The sequence below is a fragment of the Homo sapiens genome, chromosome 14 (assembly GCF_000001405.40).
Source record: "Homo sapiens chromosome 14, GRCh38.p14 Primary Assembly".
Lineage (NCBI taxonomy): Eukaryota > Metazoa > Chordata > Mammalia > Primates > Hominidae > Homo > Homo sapiens.
The window spans coordinates 77,622,198-77,644,027 of NC_000014.9; the positions used below are offsets into that span (position 1 = coordinate 77,622,198).

Here is a 21,830-nt window from a genome sequence, read left to right on the forward strand (position 1 = left end):
CCAATCACACAAGTATTTTTTGCTGGCCATCATGTTGGGTACTGCAAATACAATGACAAATAGAAAGAAACATGGTATTTGCACTTGTAGAGCTTTCAGTCTTGATTTACAAGAAATGCGTCTGCTCTTTCCCCTTTCATTATTCCTAATCTAATAGAGTAAGTGAAATAGACTAATTCTCTCCCTGGGTTTCTGATCCTACTTTTGTGGAAAATCTTGGATGCTGTTTTTGGACTATTTTCAGTGGCAATATTTGCATCCACAAAACTGGGCAGGTCCTGGGACAAGAGTTTAGAATTGCATTATGACCCTGAGGCCTGAGCTATTTAAATGAATGTTTGCATGCAAACATGAAGCTTTAAGAGGAATGATGGTTTCTGATTATACACCTCCAGGGTGCCAGCTAAGCACTTAGTAGAGATTTTAATCTGTACCCAACAAAGCGTTTGCAATGGGAGTTCTGCAATAATACAGATGAGTGCTCCAGGAATGGGCAGCCAGAGCTTATGTCTCAATGGCAGGTCTCTGCCCTTGAGTTACCTCTGCTCCAGAAGCACCTGAGAGCTTCCTCCACCACACCCCACACTGCCACCCTGGACTTCCTCTGGGCACTCACCTGGCTGAATGTTGCAATCATTTCAGGTTCTGCTCCAGGAAGCAAGTGGACTTTTACTTCTGGCTTCAAGAGGGAGGAGAGGAGATGGTGATGCAGATTAATGGTGGTGGTGTTAGCCAAGACTCTGAGTTGCAAGTTTTGAAACTGAATTTAAATTGAATTAAGCATAAAGATGATTTATTGACTCACATAACCAAAAACTAAGGGTAGATCTGATTGGATCTAGGTACTCAAGCGATATCATCAGAAATCCATCTCCAAAAAAAAAAAAAAAAAGAAATCTGTCTCCATCTCTGGCTTGGGGTCCCTCTGAATTAGCTTTATTCCCAGAAAGGCTGCCAGCATGTGATGGCAAAGATGGCTTGTGGTGGGCAAGCTTCCATTCAATCAGCTTTAAAACTTCAGCTGAAAGACACTGCCTGTTTTCTGTAGTCTTCTCGAGATTCCTAAGTAGACTTCTGTTGGCCCAGCTTGGGTCACATGCATCAGGTGACTGTTGAATTGATTGGCCAGGCCTGAATCTTCTGCCCACCCACTCCACCAATTCTGAGCCACAGGCTCAGAGAAGGGGAGACTATTGGTTTTCCTCTGGGAGAAGATGGGTGCTGTTGCCAGAAAAAAGGGTGCTGAGTAGGCATAAGCCACAGATGTCCATTGCACTGATCATGTTAAATATGATGACAACAGTAAGAAGCAGGAAGTGGGAATGCCTTGGAGAGTCTCAACATTTTCAGATGATATTACAAGAAAGACTGCATTTAGACTCTCCCTCCTCCACAAATCTGACCTACAAAAGTTATCTCAAATTAATCCCTCCCTATGGTAACTGTCTGTTCTGTGTGTTTATTTAACTGATTTAAGTGATTGATATCTTCATCTTCATCAAATCATTATCCTAAAGCCATTAATAAACATTCTTTGTATATGTAGCTGTATAAGAAAAACAGAAATACAGACAGAGCATTAACTCTCTAAGAGAGCAATAAAGGGTGGGGCACAGTGGCTCAGGCCTGTAATCCCAGCACTTTGGGACACCAAGGTGGGTGGATCACCTGAGGACAGGAGTTCAAGACCAGCCTGGGCAACATGGTGAAACCTCATCTCTACTAAAAAAAAAAAAATTAGCCAGGCATGGTGGCGCACACCTGTAATCCCAGCTACTAAGGAGGCTGAGGCAGGAGAATCACTTGAAGTGGGGAGGCAGAGGTTGCAGTGAGCTGTGATGGTGTGACTGCACTCCAGCCTAGGCAACAGAGTGAGACTGTCTCAAAAAAAAAAAAGGAGCAATAAAGGACTCATAAGACAACACACCACCAACTCTGAATATTATATATTGTGAACTCAGAATGGCGAAAATTGAATTGTACTGAATGTGAAGTATATCTCAATTAAAAAAACAAAAAAAATTGCCTTTTTAAAAAAAGAAGACATAAATAAGAAGTTGCATATGTTCCTAGGCAATGTGACATACGCATTCAATGGTGTGATGGAATTTGCATATTTAAACAGAATAGGTGAAAGGTAAAGCTGTCATTCTTTTCCACTTCATCATAGAACCCTTAGAAGATTTAGCTATTGTCGCCATCACTTTCTTTATATTTACTGTGCAATGTTACATATTCATGGACAACATAACTTCTTTTAAAATGGTCTTTGGGGTTCTTCCTCTACCCTCAATATTTTGCTAACTTTTTCTCACATTTTTTCTCTATCGTGTACCACTTCCAACACCAATAATTTTTGGTGCCTAATATCTTGGGGGGCCATTTTAACCTATATCTAGAAGAAGACTATTCTGTTGTTTATGCTCCCAATGACTCTAAAGCCACATGACAGCTTCCTTCAATGAATGTCCCAAAAAGTATGGGAATTAGAATAGGCAATGGGAATGCAACAGGGATGCCCAAAAGAGTTGACAGGGAAAGAACTTTTTTTTTTCTTTCAGACAAAATCTCACTCAGTTGCTCAGGCTGGAGTGCAGTGGCACAGTCTCGGCTCACTGCAGCCTCCACCTCCTGGGTTCTAGTGATTCTCCTGCCTCAGCCTCCTGGGTAGCTGGGATTACAGGCACTCGCCACCACGGCTGGCTAATTTTTGTATTTTTAGTAGAGATGAGGTTTCACCATGCTGGCCAGGCTGGTCTTGAACTCCTGACCTCAGGGGATCCGCCTGCCTCGGCCTCCCAAAGTGCTAGGATTACAGGCATGAGCCACCCCTCCTGGCCAGGAACTTTCTTCTATTGACATTTGAACATTTCAAAATATAGTACATTTCTCTTTTATATCAACAGCATATTTTAAGGCATAAATGACAACTTTAGAGTCATCTTTTATTTTAATCCAAACCAGCCTTTCCCATGCTGACCGCCCCATCCTTATCTACCGGTCCATATTCTGCATTTCAGGTGGTTGCTTCTCCAGCAACTTTTCCACACTTCCTTCACTGGTGAGCAGTCATTTATTAGAGGGTTGACTATTTCCCAGTCCCTGACAACAGGGAGTGGTTCATGGACAGACACAAGAGCGTAGTTGATTCAATCATGCTTAAGACTTGAGATTTTGGTTCAATGACTGGGGGAAGGAAACGTATCTGTTTTCCCAGAAGGTGTGGTATGTGAATGTGAGACCTACAACTGCTACAGCCATTTGGTTACCACGAGAAAAACCCCACTAAGAATAAAAGCAACATCAGGAAGTGAGCAGAGAAGCTCACAGACACATGGAGCTGGTGCTCTGATCAAACTACGCATGAGGCCCACACTAGACATTTCAATTATGCTGAGTCAAGAAATTCTCTTTAGTTGTTTATGCAGGTTGAAGTTTTGTGTTTTTTAAAAATTGGAACTTAAAGCACCTTAACTGTTACAATCCTTCAGTACAATATTTTTCACAGCATTATTGAAGTATAATTAATAGTAAGTAAACTGCATATATTCAAGTGTATGATTTGATGAGTTTTGACATATATATATCTACCTGTGAAATCATCTCCACAATCAGAATGATGAACATATCCATCATCCTCAAAAGATTCCTGGTGTCCTTTTGGAATCCCTCTCCTCCTTCACTGTTCTTCCAGACTTCCTGTCTTATAGACTAGTTAACATTCTCAAAAATGTTATATAAATGAAATAATGTAGTATATTCTTTCTTTGGCTTTTTTCATTCAGCATAATATTTTGAGATTCATTCATGTTGTTGCTTGTATCTTTCTTCCTTTTTGTTGCTGAGTAGTTTTTTTTCTTTTTTTTTTTCTTTGAGACAGAGTCTGGCTCTGTCACCCAGGCTGGAGTGCAGTGGCGTGGTCTCGGCTCACTGCCAGCTCCGCCTCCCGGGTTCGCACCATTCTCCTGCCTCAGCCTCCCGAGTAGCTGGGACTACAGGCACCCGCCACCATGCCTGGCTAATTTTTGTATTTTTAGTAGAGACGGAGTTTCACCGTGTTAGTCAGGATGGTATCGATCTCCTGACCTTGTGATCCGCCCGCCTCGGCTTCCCAAAGTGCTGGGATTACAGGCGTGAGCTACCGCGCCTGGCTGTTGTCGAGTAGTTTTAATTGTATGGATGCACAGTTTATTTATCCATCCACCTATGATGGACATTTGAATTGTTTCTAGTTTGGAGCTATTACAAATAAAGTTGCTATAAATATGTGTATACAAATCCTTGTGTGGACATAAACTTTCATTTCTCTTGGTTAAATACTTAGGAGTAGGCCAGGCACAGTGGCTCACGCCTGTAATCCCAGCATTTTGGGAGGCTAAGGCGGGTGGATCACAAGGTCAGGAGATCAAGACCATCACGGTCAACATGGTAAAACCCTGTCTCTACTAAAAATACAAAAATTATCTGGGTGTGGTGGCACGCACCTGTAATCCCAGCTACTCAGGAGGCTGAGGCAGGAGAATTGCTTGAACCTGGGAGGCGGAGATTGCAGTGAGCCAAGATTGTGCCACTTCACTCTAGCCTGGGCAACAGAGCAAGGCTCCACCTCAAAAAAAAAAAAAAAAAAGAAAAGAAAAAGAAAATTTTAGGGAAGGTGAACAGGATGAGCAGTGACCAAGAAATAAAACAACCTCAAAGTAGGCAGACAGCACACCACTCCTGAGCAGAGTCCTAGAGGGGTAGTCCACTTTCTGCAGTCCCATAATGAGATTATAGCACTCAATATGTGCCATTTTATATTCAAGCTATTTGTGTACCTGTTTGTGTTTGTTTTCTCACACACTAAGTAGGAACTAGTGAAACATGCTCAGTTATTCCTGTGAGGTTATTTATGTATCTTTTCTTTTCATGTATTAGGTTCATACAAAAGTATTTGCGGTCGTTGCCATTACTTTCAGATGCAAAAACCACAATTACGTTTGCACGAACCTGATATTTGTATCCCAAGGAATCAGACCCGAAAATCTTGTGTTCAGGTTGTAAATGGTTCAATGTCTTCCTGCCTTTTGGTACTTCCCAGTTTTTTAAATGAGGTATCTATTTATAATTACAATAATTAAAAACCTCAAGTTGACAGAGTGAGACTGTAGGTTGTTTTAATATCCAAAAACAATGTCATCTTAATAGAATTAAGGACAAAAACTACATAGTCATTTAACAGACACAAAAAAGGCATTTGATTAAAAAACTAACACTTCTTTGTGATAAAAGTCCTCAACACACTAGGAGTAGAAGAGGAGTTCCTCAATCTGACAAAGGACATTTACAAAATATGTACAGCTAACATTATTCTAAATGGTAAAACACTGAATGCTTTCTTCTAAGATTAGGAAGAACACAAGGATGATCACTTTCACCACTCCTATTCAACATTATACTAGGCTAGTAAGGAAGAAAGTAAAATAAGAAGCTTCCAGATTAAAAAAGAAGTGAAATGATCTCTACTCACAGATGACGTAATCTTTTACATGGACTATCCCAAAGAATCTACTGAAAGAATGATTAGAACTAATAAACAATTTAAACAGGTTAAAGGATACAAGATTAATATACAAAAAGGAGTTATATTTATATTTATATTTTTTATTTTTATTTTATTTTAGTTTTTGAGATGGAGTTTTACTCTTGTTGCCCAGGCTGGAGTGCAATGGCATGATCTCAGCTCACTGCAACCTCCGCCTCCCGGGTCCAAGCAATTCTCCTGCCTCAGCCTCTGAGTAGCTGGGATTACACGTGCACACCACCACACCCAGAAAATTTTTGTATTTTTAGTAGAGACGGGGGTTTCACCATGTTGGCCAGGCTGGTCTTGAACTCCTAATCTCAGGTGATCCACCCGCCTTGGCCTCCAAAAGTGCTAGGATTATAGGCATGAGCCACAGTGCCCAGCCAAGAGTTATATTTTTATATACTAACGATAAACATTCTGAAAATGAAAGTAAGAAAACAATCCAATTAGCAATAGCATCAAACATAATAAAATAGGAAAAAATTAACAAAAGAGTGCAAGATTTGTGTACTGGAAAGTATAAAACATTGTTGAAAAATTAAAGGGGATCTAGGCTGGGCGTGGTCGCTCACGCCTGTAATCCCAGCACTTTGGGGGGCCGAGGTGGGCAGATAACGAGGTCAAGAGATCAAGACCATCCTGGCTTACACGGTGAAACCCTGTCTCTACTAAAAATACAAAAAAAATTAGCCAGACGTGGTGGCAGGTGCCCATAGTCTCAGCTACTTGGGAGGCTGAGGCAGAAGAATGGCGTGAACCTGGGAGGCAAAGCTTGCAGTGAACCGAGACTGAGCCACTGCACTCCAGCTGCGCGACAGAGCGAGACTCCATCTCAAAAAAAAAAAAAGAAAGAAAGAAAAAGAAAGAAAGAAAAATTAAAGGAGATCTAAATAATGGAAAAACATCCCATGTTCAGTGATTGGAAGACTTAATATTGTAAGATGGCAATACTACCCAAATTGATCTACAGATTCAGTGAAATCTGTATCTAAACCAACCCGCCTTTTTTGTAGACATTGCTGATCCTAAAATTTATACAGAAATGTGGGACCCAGAATAGCCAAAAGAATCTTGATTAAAAAAAAGAATAAAGTTAGAGAATTCACACTTTCCAATTTCAAAACTGACTATACAGCTCTATACAGCTGAAGTAATTAAGACAGTATGCTATTGGCATAAAGACAGACATATAGATCAATGTAATAAAATTGAGAATCCAGAAATAAACCCTAAGATTTATAATCAACTGGTTTTGGACAAGAATGCCAAGAAAATTAAAGGAGACAATGAATGATCTTAATTGCAAATGGTGCTTGTAAAACTGGATCACTACAAGCAAGAATAAAGTTAGACCCCTACCTCACACCATATACAAAAAAACTAAGTTAAAATGGATCAAAGACCTACATGTAAGAGCTAAAACTTTAAAATCCTTAGAAGAAAACGTAGGTATGAATCTTCATGACTGTGGATTGGACAATAGTTTTGAGATATTTCACCAGAAGCATAAACATCCAAAGAAAAGATAGATAAATTGGACTTCATTAAAATGAAAAAAAAATTTTTTTTCAAGGGACACCATCAAAAAATGAAACAATAACCCAGAGAATGGGAGAAAATTTTTGCAAATCATATATCTGTTAAGAGTCTTGTATCTGGGGCCGGGTGTGGTGGCTCATGCCTGTAAACCCAGCACTTTGGAAGGCTGAGGTGGGTGGATCATGAGATCAGGAGATCCAGACCATCCTGGCCAACGTGGTGAAACCCAGTCTCTATTAAAAATACAAAAATTAGCCAGGCACAGTGGCAGGCGCCTGTAGTTCCAGCTACTCAGGAGGCTGAGGCAGGAGAATGGCATGAACCCAGGAGGCAGAGCTTGCAGCGAGCCGAGATCATGCCACTGCACTCCAGTCTGGGTGACAGAGCGAGACTCTGTCTCAATAAAAGAAAGAGTCTTGTATCCAGGATACACAAAAACTCTTATAATACTTAATAATAAAAGGATAAATAACACCATTTTTAAATGCGCAAAAGAATTGAATAGACATTACACCAAAGAAGATATGCAAAAGGAATAGAAGGAGGGAAGGAGGATGAAAAAGGAAGGCATTGATATGATTATGATATTTTGGGGGTTCAAAAGGACCAAATAAATAACACTTCCTTCCTCACCATGCTAGCAGTGGCAAATCCAAATGAGTCTGTAGCAACCTCAATTCTTGCCTCCTCAGAAGAAAGAATTTGAGCAAGGGGCATAAGGCAGAGGGAGAGACTGAGGCATGTTTTAGGGCAGGAGTGAAAGTTTATTAAAAAGTTTTAGAGCAGGAATAAAAAGAAGTAAAGTACACTTGGAAGAGGGCAAAGTGGGCAACTTGAGAGATTCAAGTGCGCAATTTGACCTTTGACTTGGAGTCTTATATGTTAGCATGCTTCCAGGGTTGAGTTACATCTCCCCTGATTCTTCCCTTGGGGTGAGCCATCCACATTGCAGTGGCCTGCTAGCACCTGGGAGGGGCCAAATGCACACTGTATTTACTGAAGTTACATACATGCTCACTTGAGGTGTTCCTCTCTTACCAGTTGGGTGTTCCTAGAAGAAGGTCATATAGCAATTAAAGTCTGCCATTTTGCCTCTTAGTGCACAAGCTTGAGTCCACTCGCCCAACTCCTGAGATCTTATCAGGAAGCTGCTGATCACCAGTTTCTGGTGTTTCTATCTATTGGGAAACTGTCTTTCCCTGGTGCTGGCCTGCCACCACACTTGTCTAATATATATATATATACATATATATATATATATTTTTTTTTTTTTTTTTGCAATGGAGTCTTGCTCTGTTGCCTAGGCTGGAGTGCAATGGTGTGATCTCAGCTCACTGCAACCTCTGCCTCCCAGGCTCAAGTGATTCTCCTGCCTCAGCCTCCCAAGTAGCTGGGATTACAGGCACCCACCACCACGCCTATCTAAGTTTTATATTTTTTAGTAGAGAAGGGGTTTTATCATGTTGGTCAGGCTGGTCTCAAACTACTGACCTCAGGTGATCCACCTGCCTCAGCCTCCCAAAGTGTTTGGATTACAGGCGTGAGCCACCGCACCCAGCCCAGAATTAGAATATTGATCAAGATTTTTGCATTACCCATTCCTCTGTGTTTTTCTGAGCTGCAGCCAGAGATCACTGGTTGGTTCATAGGAATAAGCAGTGTTAAACTAAATTACAGACAAAAACTCAAAAGCAACTGATGACCCTAGAATATAATAAAAGGTGTACCATAGTTCTTGAAACATAATTTTTCTCTCTTCAGTTCTCATTTTCATTAATAACATATCATGATAGGACTGATTTCTTTGCAAAATAAGCTTTAGTCTTTTATACTTGGCCAGATTATTTGCACAAAGCACAGCAAGAATAATTATTTGACATACAGGCTCCTTTTTAAATTGGCTTTGATGGAACTTCATTCCATAAGGAATCTCACATATGACTTTTTTTTTTTTTTTTTTTTTTTTTTTGAGACAGAATCTCACTCTGTCACCCAGGCTGGAGTGCAGTGGAAAGATCTTGTCTCACTGCAACCTCTGCCTCCCATGCTCAAGCAATTCTTGTGCCTCAGCCTCCCGAGTATCTGGGACTACAGGTGTGTACCACCATGCCCAGCTAATTTTTGTATTTTTAGTAGACAAGCAGGTTTTGCCATGTTGGCCAGGCTGGTCTCAAACTCCTGACCTCAAGTGATCCGCCTGCCTTGGCCTCCCAAAATGCTGGGATTACAGGTGTGAGCCACTGTGCCTGGACTCAGATAAGACTTTTCAAAGCGTTACTCCCAGCCATGGGTTGATGCCAGTAAATACCTGTATGAGTTGGGTAAATTTCTCTCCTCTTGAGATTGCAAGATAATTTGGGGCTCCTGGGCCTGTTAGAAAGTGATATTCTTTACTTACCACAGGTCAAGAATCCTATACAGGGACTGTGTAGACAAGGTATGAGGTCTGTTTTACCAAGGAGCTTTATTGGTTCTATAAGTCAATTTTGATTCCTTAAAGGAAAGCATGACATTTCAGTCAAAGCCTTGATAAAATAACTAGTTTCTCCAATTGTGTCCTGTTGCAAAAGAAGCATATTCTTACTGCACTTATATAAATAATCATATTGCCATAAGTTAAGAATACTCACAAATCATTTCCAAATTCTGGAGAAATCAGGTAGAGAGAAACAAATATCCTCCAAATTTTGTTTACAGGAGTACTCAATTTTAAAAGCTGTAAATAGCTCAAAAGAACAGCTTTCTTGACTTTGAAAAACAAAGGATTAGCAATGTTTTAAGCAAAAAGGTAAAAAAGATTACTTCAGTCAATTAATTCCAGTTTTGCTTGACATTTATGAACACATTAGTTTTCCAAGACAATCTTGAAAGTTCTTTCTTCTTCATTTTAATGTTAAAATCTCCAAAGAGCACCTGTTCTATAGCTTATTATAAAACCACCTTTTTTTTTTAGATAAGATCTCATTCTGTAGCCAATGCTGGAGTGCAGTGGTGTGATCTCAGCTCACTGCAAACTGCAACATCTGATTCCCAGGATCAAGCCATCCATCCACCTCAGCCTCCTGAGTAGCTGGGACTACAGGCACCCACCAGCACATCTAGCTAATTTGTTTATGATTTCGTAGAGATGGGGTTTCACCATGTTGCCCAGGCTGGTCTCAAGCTCCTGCACTCAAGTGGTCCTCCTGCCTCAGTCTCCCAAAGTGCTGGGATTACAGGCATAAGCCACCATGCCCAGCCTGTAAAACCACCTTTTAAAAAGAGTTAAAACAAGACAATGATTGTCTGTGGATGACAAAAAGTCTTAAGGCCACCACAGTCAAAGACACAATTGACAAGGAAATGTGTTACCTCTGTGGTATGCAATAATTTAACATAACAATTACAATTATTACTGATAGCATATACTAAGTTATATCAGAATTACAGGAGTTTCACACAGTTTTGGAACACATACCAACAACCTATTTATACAAATACAGTTCAAAGAAAGCCAAATTTTACCTTTGCATTAGAGTACTATTGATGTTAAACCCAATTCTTAATAAAACCTCATAGACAAATCTATCCAATCTTAATTCATTTAACCATAGGTAAGATTCTCATAAAACTTTTATGACCCTTTATAGTTTTCTGTTAAAGAGCAGAACAATGCTCTAAGAAAACTATGTTATGCTTTTATTCCAATGTTCAATTTATGGATAAACTGAATAATATACCCCTTTAATTTTAGCCAATATGTTCACATACAGATTAATCTTTTGCAATCCTTCCACAATTTGCTCAAACCTTTGGCTTTATTTCAACTTAAAACTATCCTTTAACCCTCTAAACGAAGCAAAAAAAATTCACATTCTCATGCCTTCTCTTTTTTGTATTACTTATTTTGTTTTGTTTTGTTTTGCTTTTTTGAGGCAGGGTCTTGCTCTGTTGCCCAGGCTGGAGTGCAGTGGCATGATCTCAGCTCACTACAACCTCCGCTTCCCAAGTTCAAGTGATTCTCCTTCCTCAGCCCCCCGAGTAGCTGGAATTAAGGGTGTGTGCCACCATGCCTGGCTAATTCTTTGTATTTTTAGTAGAGATGAGGTTTCACCACGTTGCCCAGCTTGGTCTTGAACTCCTGACCTCAAGTAATCCACCTGCCTTGGCCTCTCAAAAGTCTAGGATTACATGCATGAGCCACTGCACCTGGCTTTCATGCCTTCTTGTAATCTTTTACCAAAAGCACATTCTACTTTTCTTATACACCTTGCATGGAAAACTGTTTTCTCCAGTAGTCTCAAGTGAATGTTACACAGTTAACTCTTTTTTTTTTCTTTTATTTTTGAGACAGAGTCTCACTCCATCACCCAAGCTGGAGTGTCATGGCATGATCTCAGCTGATTGCAACCTCTACCTCCCAGGTTCAAGCGATTCTCCTGCCTCAGTCTCCTGAGTAGCTGGGGCTACAGGTGCATGCCACCAGGCCCAGCTAATTTTTGTATTTTTAGTAGAGACAGGGTTTCACCATATTGGCCTACACTGTTAACTCCTAGCAACATTTACTTTTTATGAAAAACCTGGTAAGAAAACAATTCTAATTATGTACTAGCTTTGGAGTCTAGGACACTAGACGGAAGTGCAGATAAGGTCTGACTTTTTCCAGCATAGTTAGGGGGCATGACTAACTCTGTATGTGCCCAGGCCTTACCTAGAATTTAATGGCTTTTTTTTTTTTTGAGATGGAGTCTCACACTGTCACCCAGGCTGGAGTGCAGTGGCACGATCTCGGCTCACTGCAACCTCTGCCTCCCAGGCTCAAGTGATTCTCCTGCCTCAGCCTCCCAAGTAGCTGGGATTACAGGTGCCCACGACCACACTCACTTAATTTTTTGTATTTTTAGTAGAGACGGGGTTTCACTATGTTGGCCAGGCTGGTCTCAAACTCCTGACCTCGTGATCCATCCACCTCAGCCTCCAAAGGGCTGGGATTACAGACATGAGCCACTTCACCTGGCCAAATTTAATGGCTTTAAAGAAGGCAAGTTGTAAATTCCTTTCACGAATCTTTTCACAACTTATACAGACCATCTATGACATGGTTGGACTTTCTGACTTGTCCTAAATGTCTGTCTTTTTAAACAACCAGTTATTTTATTTTAGGACAAGAATTTACCATACAAGATCCTTTTTCATACAAAGTCTCTTTTCTTGTAACACTCTTTACCAAAAATACCTCTTTACCTTTATAACTTTTGAATTAGACAAAAGTTATTTTCTTTCTGTTAGGAAGTTATGGTTTGTTGCTGTGCAAGTCCTGTAAAATGGGAGCAGATAAAGAGGTTACCTATATATGGTAGAAGTTATCCCCCACTAAAGTGATTGCTCAGTTAGATTTCTTGTTCAGGCTTGTTTGAGTAAGTGTGGGCTATTTTTTTTTTTTTTGAGATGGAGTCTCGCTTTGTCGCCCAGGCTGGAGTGCAGTGGCGCCATCTTGGCTCACTGCAAGCTCCGCCTCCCGGGTTCACGCCATTCTCCTGCCTCAGCCTCCTGAGTAGCTGGGACTACAGGCGCCCACCACCATGTCCGGCTAATTTTTTTGTATTTTTAGTAGAGATGGGGTTTCACCGTGTTAGTCAGGATGGTCCCGATCTCCTGACCTCGTGATCTGCCCGCTTCAGCCTCCCACAGTGCTGGGATTACAGGCATGAGCCACCACGCCCAGCCAGTGTGGCCTATTTTTAAACCCCTAAGGTAGGACTGACCAGGTTAAAGTTATTGGTTAAAGATTTAGGTAGCTTTTCCATGAAACACAGGGCTATTAGAGAGAAAGATGAATTCAGACGTTGGGTAAATATTAAGCAGGCACCCATCTTGCTCCAAGTAAATGTGAATCTTTTCTTTTAGGGGGTGGGTGCCATTTGTCGCCATTACCCAATAGAATTTGGAGAGTCACTCAGAGAAGGAGGTTAGCATAGAGTAGGCAGCTCTTTTAAGGGGTGGCCTGCCCCTCCACACCTGTGGGCATTTCTCGTCAGGTGGAACGAGAAACTGAGAAAAGAAAGAGACACAGAGACAAAGTATAGAGAAAGAAAAGTGGGCCCAGGGGAACGGCACTCAGCATACGGAGGACCCACGCTGGCACTGGTCTCTGAGTTCCCTCAGTATTTATTGATCATTATCTCTACTATCTCGGAGAGGGAGATGTGGCAGGACAATAGGGTAATAGTGGGGAGAGGGTCAGCAGGAAAACATGTGAACAAATGTCTCTGTATCATAAACAAGGTAAAGAAAAATGTGCTGTGCTTTGATGCGCACATACATAAACATCTCAATGCATTAAAAAGCAGTATTGCTGCCAGCATGTCTCACCTCTAGCCCTAAGGCAGTTTTCTCCTATCTTGGTAGATGGAATATATAATCGGGCTTTACACCAAGACATTCCATTGCCCAGGGACGAGCAGGAGACGGATGCCTTCCTCTTACCTCAACTGCAAAGAGGCCTTCCTCTTTTACGAATCCTCCTCAGCACAGACCCTTTACAGGTGTCGGGCTAGGGGACGGTCAGGTCTTTTCCTTCCCATGAGGCCATATTTCAGACTATCACATGGGGAGAAACCTTGGACAATACCTGGCTTTCCTAGGCAGAGGTCCCTGCGGCCTTCCGCAGTGTTTTGTGTCCCTGGGTACTTGAGATTAGGGAGTGGTGATGACTTTTAACAAGCATGCTCTCTTCAAGCGTTTGTTTAACAAAGCACATCCTGCACAGCCCTAAATCCATTAAACCTTGGGTCCACACAGCACATGTTTCTGTGAGCACAGGGTTGGGGGTTGGGTTACAGATTAACAGCATCTCAAGGCAGCAGAGTTTTTCTTAGTACAGAACAAAATGGAGTCTCTTATGTCTACTTCTTTCTACATAGGCACAGTAACAGTCTGATCGCTCTTTCTTTTCCCCACACTCTTGAATGCAAAAGGGAAATTTGTAATTTCACTTGCCACCTCTGGAGTTTCCCTTGGCTTTCTCCTATTGAAGACAATGTCTGATTTGTTCCTAGAAGTGTTCTTAGAGAAAGGTCATATACCAGTTAAATTCTACCATTTTGCCTCTGGGCATATGTGGGCACATGCTTGAGCCCACTCACCCAACTCCCAAGGTCTTATTGGGAAGCTGATGAACACCAGTTTCAGGTGTTGCTATCTATCCAGAGACTACCTTTCCCTGGGCTGGCTCTGACCGATTATTATTTTAGAGAGACAGTTAACAACTGCCTGACCAACATCTGATGGTCTCCTGACACTCCTGGTTGGTGGAGGCCCTCTCCTGCCCCACTCATGTCTGACCAATTACCTACTGTAACAACCATAGATATGAACCAATTGAGAAATAAGACATAGGCTTTAATTACATCTAAAAAAGAGAGAGAAATAAGACAAAAGGGTCAGCATATGCAGAACTAAAGTGCACGGCTGAATTCATGGGCGTGGGACCTGTGTGAGTTGCATAGGGCCCTGCACTTGGTTTAATGCTCTGTTGTTGCCATCTTGAAATTCTTGGTAATTTTTATTTTGCACTGGATTCCACAAATTAAGTGCAGACAAAAATGTCACCTGATAAAATGTCATCTTTATTATGGATATAAGTGGTCTGGGAGAATGTGGCTTGAGTGTGAGGTTAATTTCTGATCTCCAGACTAGACCTTGATGAAGCACACCTAAAAGAAAATTTGAAACCCAACAAGTACATATGCTGCTCTCCCACTTGTCCTGGTAGAAAAGAAATAAGAGACCAGATCCTCCAAGCCAGGACCATTGATAGATCATTCTTATCCAGTGGAGGAACATGTCCCACACCAACCAGGCACCCCACCCCCCTCTCTGGTGAGGAGAAAGACATTGGGCAGAGGTCAAGAGTGATTAAGTGAGCCTGAGAAACATGGAAAGAGGTAATTCTCTTTTTTTTTTTTTTTTTTGAGACAGAGTCTCACAATATCACACAGGTTGGAGTGCAGTGGTACGATCTTGACCCACTGCAACCTCTTCTTCCTGGGTTCAAGCGATTCTCCTGCCTCAGCCTCCCGAGTAGCTGGGATTACAGGCACCCATACCATGCCCAGCTACTTTTTGTATTTTTAATAGAGACGGGGTTTCAGCATTTTGGCCAGGCTGGTCTTGAACTCCTAACCTCAAGTGATCCACCTGCCTCAGCCTCCCAAAGTGCTGAGATTACAGGTGTGAGCCACAGTGCCTGGCTGAGTCATTTCTCTTTAACAGGCATCCTTAGTCAAAGTTCTTTTGGTTACAAGTGACAAATATAAGTAAACTAGCTTAAATGGAACAGGAAGTTTTGGGAAGGTGTGCCAGATACTGTTTTCTATGTATCACCTCTCCCCTCTTTCCCTGCTGATTTTGTTCAAGGACAGGGAGGAAATTCACTGATTTCAGAGAAGCAGATGTCCTGCCAGCCCTATGAATCATAATTGGCCTAAGGTAATCATGGAAACCAAATTTTCCTTTGCCAGGCACTTACTCTTCCAACCTCCCTTGCAGGTAGTGTAGATAAGTGACACAGTTCTATCCAATGAGATAAGGAAGTCTGTGGGGCCTCTGAAAATGAGGGATTTTCCTTTAGCAAAAATTGAGCCCTTTTACTCCTGCTGCTTTCCCAGTGACTTGATGCAATGAATGGAGGACATGATATCTGGAGCCATGGCAGCTATTTTGAGACCATGAGGCAATAAGCAAAATAATGAAGAGTCAACATGCTGAGTGACCAAAAGATGGAAAGAGCCTGAGTCTTTGATGACATAGCTGAGCTGATGAAACCCTGGCTCTACCTAACTCCAGACTCTTTTTCTTTGAGATGGGATCTTGCTCTGTCGCCCAGGCTGGAGTGCAGTGGTGCAATCATGGTGCAATCACAGCTCACTGCAGCCTTGACCTCCTGGGCTCAAGTAATCCTCCTGCCTCAGCCTCCCTTGTAGATGGGACTACAGGTGCCCACCACTGTGCCTGGCTATTATTATTATTATTATTATTATTATTATTATTTTTGTAGAGCCAGGTTCTTTCTATGTTGCCTAGGCTGGTCTTGAACTCCTGGGCTCAAGTAAGCCTCCTGCTTTGGCCTCCCAAAATGCTGGGATTACAGGTGTAAGCCACTGTGCCCAGCCCAGACTTCTTAAGGAAACAACATGTGCTAGTGGTTCAAGTCACTATCATTTAGACTTTCTTACTTGTAGGCAAGTACATCTTAATTCATACAGACTGTAACACATCCATTGTGAGTCTCAAGGGACCCAAGGGCAGCTCCTCCTGAAGATCAGGAGGCAGGAACTAGAAAGCAGTAATACCCCTAAGGAATTCCTCTTTCCTCCAGCCTCATCTCTGCTTCTGGGAATCTGGATCCTTTGCACTTTCTACAGACCAGTTTTCACCAATCCAATATTCACATGGCAAAGCCCTCCCTATCTACATTTCCTGCATCCAAGAAACCAACCAACTCAGGCTGCAGCCAGCTTCTCAAGCCTAATTCTAAAGTCCACAAAAGAGAATATGCTTGACCCAGTTGTGAGTCATGTACACTCTGTCTCAGTTAATGCCATAGGGGCAAATCACACGCCCAAACATAGCTGCCTGGGGCCCACCACTGCAGGGTATGCGTCTGTGTGTAGGAAATTCTCAGAGAAAAGGCATGCATGGTCTAAAAGATAACCCTAAAATGTCTACTATATTTCATGAGGCAGAAAGGAAGGGAGATGAGTCAGGTTAGGAATGCTAGGGAGTGGGTGGGAAGGGGACATTAAGCTTGAGAAGAAGGAACAGACTCTTTTCCTTTTTTGAGGTGGAGTCTTGCTCTGTCATCCAGGCTAGAGTGCAGTGGCATGATCTTGGCTCACTGCAACCTCCACCTCCCTGTCTCAAGCGATCCTCTTGTCTCAGCCTCCCAAGTAGCTGGGATTATAGGCACATGCCACCATGCCTGACTAAATTTTGTATTTTTAGTAGAGAAGGGTTTCATCATGTTGGCCAGGCTGGTCTCGAACTCCTAACTTCAAGTGATCCACCTGCCTTGGCCTCCCAAAGTGCTGGGATTACAGGCGTAATCCTTCTTGCCCCCAGCAAGAAGGAACAGATTCTAACAGCAGGTGGAAAGCCGAGAGAGGTAACAGGTAGGTAGGAGGTAGCTGAGAAATTCCTCAGTTAAGAAGTCAAGATTCTGGAGGGTGTGGTGGCTCAAGCCTATAATCCCACCATTTGGGAGGCCAAGGTGGGCGGATTGCTTTAGTTCAGGAGTTTGAGACCAGTCTGGGCAACATAGTGAGACCCTTCTCTACAATAAATAAAATACAAAAACAGTAGCTGCCTGGCACAGTGGCTCATGCCTGAAATCCCAGCGCTTCAGGAGGCCGAGGCAGGTGGATCACCTGTCAGGAGTTTGAGACCAGCCTGGCCAACATGATGAAACCCGTGTCTACTAAAAATACAAAATTAGCTGGATGTGGTGGTGCACACCTGTAGTCCAAGCTACTCGGGAGGCTGAGACAGGAGAATCACTTGAACCTGGGAGGTGGCAGCTGCAGTGAGCCGACACTCCGCCACTGCACTCCAGCCTGGGCTAGACACAGCCAGACTACATCTCAAAAACAAAACCAAAAACAGTAGCCATAGGCTGGGCACGGTGGCTCACGCCTGTAATCCCAGCACTTTGGGAGACTGAGGTGGGTGGATCGCGTGAGCTCAGGAGCTCGAGACCAGCGTGGGCAACAGTGGAACCCCATCTCTACAAAAAATACAAAAGTTAGCCGGGTGCGGTGGCATATGCCTGTGGTCCCAGCTACTCGGGAAGCTGAGGCAGGAGGATCGCTTGAGCCCGGGAAGCGGAGGTTGCAGTGAGCTGAGATTGCACTGAAACTGCCTTTGCAAAATTATGACTGAGACAGTGAAAGAGATCTAACTTAACCGACTTTATCTTGCTTCTAACCTCCAAGTTGTCCTTGTTCATTCCTGGGCAAACTAACTTTGGGAGAAACTTAGTTTATAGTTTAAACAAAGATGGTAACAGCCTTTCCCAAAGCAGACCTCCTTCTTGCCTGGGGACTAGATTGCCTTTGTAGGAGTAACATTAGCCACAAGATTAGAAATTATGGTTTAGGCCGGGCATGGTGGCCCATGCCTGTAATCCCAGCACTTTGAGAGTCCAAGGTAAGTGGATTACCTGCAGTCAGGAGTTCAAGACCAGCCTGGCCAACATGGTGAAACCCATCTTTACTAATAATACCAAAAAAAAAAAAAAAGTTAGCCGAGAGTGGTGATGCATACCTGTAATCCCAGCTACTCGGGAGGCTGAGGCAGGAGAATCGCCTGAACCCGGGAGTCAGAGTTTGCAGTGAGCTGAGATGGCAACACTGCACTCCAGCCTGGACGACAAGACAAAACTCCATCTCAAAAAAAAAAAAAAAAAAAAAAAGGAAAAGAAAAGAAAATAAATTATGGTTTAGGAGTCATGCAGCTGAAAGCTACAAGAATCTGACCCTCCCTAAACTGCTCCTAAGATCAGTGCTTGAGATATTTTGCAGACCCTGCGCTTGATGGATCAGCTGGCACCACCCAGCTCAATAAACTGGCTCATCTCATCCTGTGGCCCCCCCCATCTAGGAACTGACTCAGCCCGAGAAGACAGCTTCCAGTCTCTATGATTTCTTCCCTGACCAATCAGCACTCCTGGCTCACTGGCTTCCCGCCCCGTCCCCTTCCGCCCCCCACCACCAAGTTATCCTTAAAAACTCTGCTCCCCCAATGCTCCGGGAGACTGATTTGAGTAATAATAAAATTCTGGTCTCCCGCACAGCCGGCTCCGCATGAATTCCTCTTTCTTTATTGCAATTCCCCTGTCTTGATTAATGGGACTCTGTCTAGTCAGCGGGCAAGGTGAACCCCTTGGACAGTTACAGCACCACTGCACTCCAGCCTTAGTGACAGAGTGAGACCCTGTCTGAAAAAGCAAAACAAACTAATAAACAAAACAGTAGCCGGGCGTGGTGGTGTGCGCCTTTGCTCCTACTTGGGAGGTTAAAGTGGGTGGATCCTCTGAGCCCGGGAGTTCTAGGCTGCCAGTGAGCCGAGATCGTGCACCTGCACTCCAGCCTGGGCAACAGAGTGAGGCCCTACCTCATTATAAAAAAAAGAAAAAAAGCTAAAGTCAATCTCCTAAGGCCTTTTCTTGAATTAGGAATGAGGAAGTGGTGAGAAGAGAAATAAGGAAGGAAAGTAGTGGCCCTAGAGAAGAAAAGTTGTCACTGAGGAAACACTGGGTAGGATTAGACCATCCCCCATTCCCTCCTCTCCCCGCCCAAAGACTGAAAATCAGGCCGTCCGGTTATTTTAGGCTGAAGTCCCAAAGAGAACTGTGTTGGTGTGTGTGTGTTCCCGGCAATCGCTGGCAACAACCTTTCTCTCTAGAAAAAGGTCACTGAAACAGATTGGGGTCGGCCTTGATCCTGGTTCCCCACGGGGGTCAGAAAACTGTACTGGAGGCCAGAACGTCGCCCTGAGGATGGCCGGGTTTCCACGGGGCCGACCCTGATAAGGATCGCAGGAGGATGGCAGGGCGGTGAGGGTGGGCACGGAGTCATTCCGAGAAGGGAGAGCGGGAGCCGGGGTCAGCGCGGGGAGAAGGGCGTGATTTCCACCCTCTTTCCCCGCTCCCTCGTGCAGGGAAGAGCCAAGGGCGGGGAGGATGCGCGGGCGAGAGGCTAGCCCAGGAAACTGAAAGATGTGTTTACAGAAAGCGCCGGAAGGAAGTCGGAAGCAAGATAGCGGGGGCTTTGGAGGAATAGCCGGACAATTCTGGGAACCCAGGAGCTGGGGTCTGTCTGGATCCAGCTTTCCCTCCCGTCCTCCCTCTTTCCTCGAGCTCCTGGGTGGTTCAGGCCGCAGCGCTCGGCGCGGGCACCTTCAGCCACTTCTGCGCCTGCGCCGTCTGCTGCAGAACATCCAGTCCTGGCCCCGCTCACCCGAGGCGCTCAACAAACGTTTCCATCATGAATAAGCGAATGAAACTTGGAACTGAAAGGACCCAAGACACAAACAAATGCACTGACGGTCAGGAAGGGGTTGCTCAAGGAGGACAATAACTTTCACACCTATTTCACCTCTGCCCCATGAAATGTTATTGATGGAGGCAGGAAAAACCGTTGAACCCCCGGACTAATTGGCAATTTCCCAAAAGTATTTGTAGGAAGAGTACTTTTTGTTTAAATGGAATGTTAAGGCTGGGAGCGGTGGCTCACGCTTGTAATCGCAGCACTTTGGGAGGCCAAGGCTGGAAGATTGCTGGAGCCCAGAGTTGGAGACCAGCCTGGGCAACAAAGGGAGACCTTATCTCTACAAAAAAAAATTAAAAATTGGCCGTGTGTGATGGTGTGCACCTGTAGTCCCAGCTACTCGGGAGGCTAAGGCAGGAGGATCACTTGAGCCCAGGAACTTGAGGCTGTAGTGAGCTATGATTGTGACACTGCACTCCAGCCTGGGCAACAGAGTGAGACCCTGTCTCAAATAAATAAATAAATAAATAAATAAATAAATAAATAAATAAATGTGTGTGTGTGTGTGTGTGTGTGTGTGTGTGTGTGTGTGTGTGTGTAGGAATGCAATTTTTGGCCAGGTGCAGTGGCTAACACCTGTAATTCCAACGCTTTGGGAGGCCGAGGTGGGCGGATCACCTAAGGTCAGGAGTTTGAGACCAGCCTGGCCAACATGGTGAAACCCCATCTCTACTAAAAATACAAAAATTAGCGGGGCGTGGTGGTGAGTGCCTGTAATCCCAGCTACTCAGGAGGCTGAGGCAGGAGAATCGCTCGAACCCTGGAGGCGGAGGTTGCAGTGAGCCAAGATCACGCCACTGCACTCTGGCCTGGGCAAAAGAGCAAGACTCTGTCTCAAAAAAAAAAAAAAAAAAAAAAAAAGAATAGAATTTTACCTGTAAGTCTAAACAGATAAAAGAGATGAAAAACAATAAAACTACAAAACCAACAGCTTCCCTCTTGTTCCTCCCTTCATCCCATTCTTACTGATGATCTGGTTTTGAAAAACACTCATCTACTGCCACTCCAGAGTTACTGGTAAAGAACTGAGGCCCAGAGAGGCTAAGTAACTTAGTGTCACACAGCAAAGAAGGAAAGAAAGAGGGGAACAAAAAGAAGACAGGAACTTGAGCAAAAGCCAACCGAAAACTATGACCTGCCAGCCAAATCCTGCTTGCTGCCTGTTTTTGTACAGCCTGAGAGCCAAGAATGGTCTTTACACTTTTGAATGGTTAAAGAGAAGTCAAAAGAATAGTAATAGTTCATGAAGTGTGAAAATTATATAAAATTCAAATGTCAGTGTCCAGCAATAAAGTTTCATTGGTACACGACCACATTCATTCATTAATGGCTGTTCCACACTGCAAAGGCAGAGTTGAGTAGTTACAAGAGAAATTATAAGCGGCCTGGAAAACCCAAAATCTTTACTGTCTGGCCCTCTACAGAAAAAGTTTGCTGATTTCTGGTCTGGAGTTCTCAGCAGTTCTTTTGGTTTTAAACGCTGGGGTCTGAGTCGGGTATGTGAGGGGTGAGTGGGGAGAGGAGACAGGACTCCGCAGATACTGGAGTCCTTTGATTAAAGGCCCAAAAACTGGTGGGTGTGGTGGCTCACACTTGTAATCCCAGCGCTTTGGGAGGACGAGGCGGGCGGATCACTT

The 21,830-nt window shown here is 43.5% G+C and overlaps 1 annotated feature.

Moving 5' to 3' along the window:
* Positions 20,139–20,218: an enhancer, noted in NCBI's record as "active region_8809". NCBI's record gives its function as "activates an Ori minimal core promoter by ATAC-STARR-seq in GM12878 lymphoblastoid cells {active_cell/tissue: GM12878}" and the evidence as "EXISTENCE:reporter gene assay evidence [ECO:0000049][PMID:35858748]".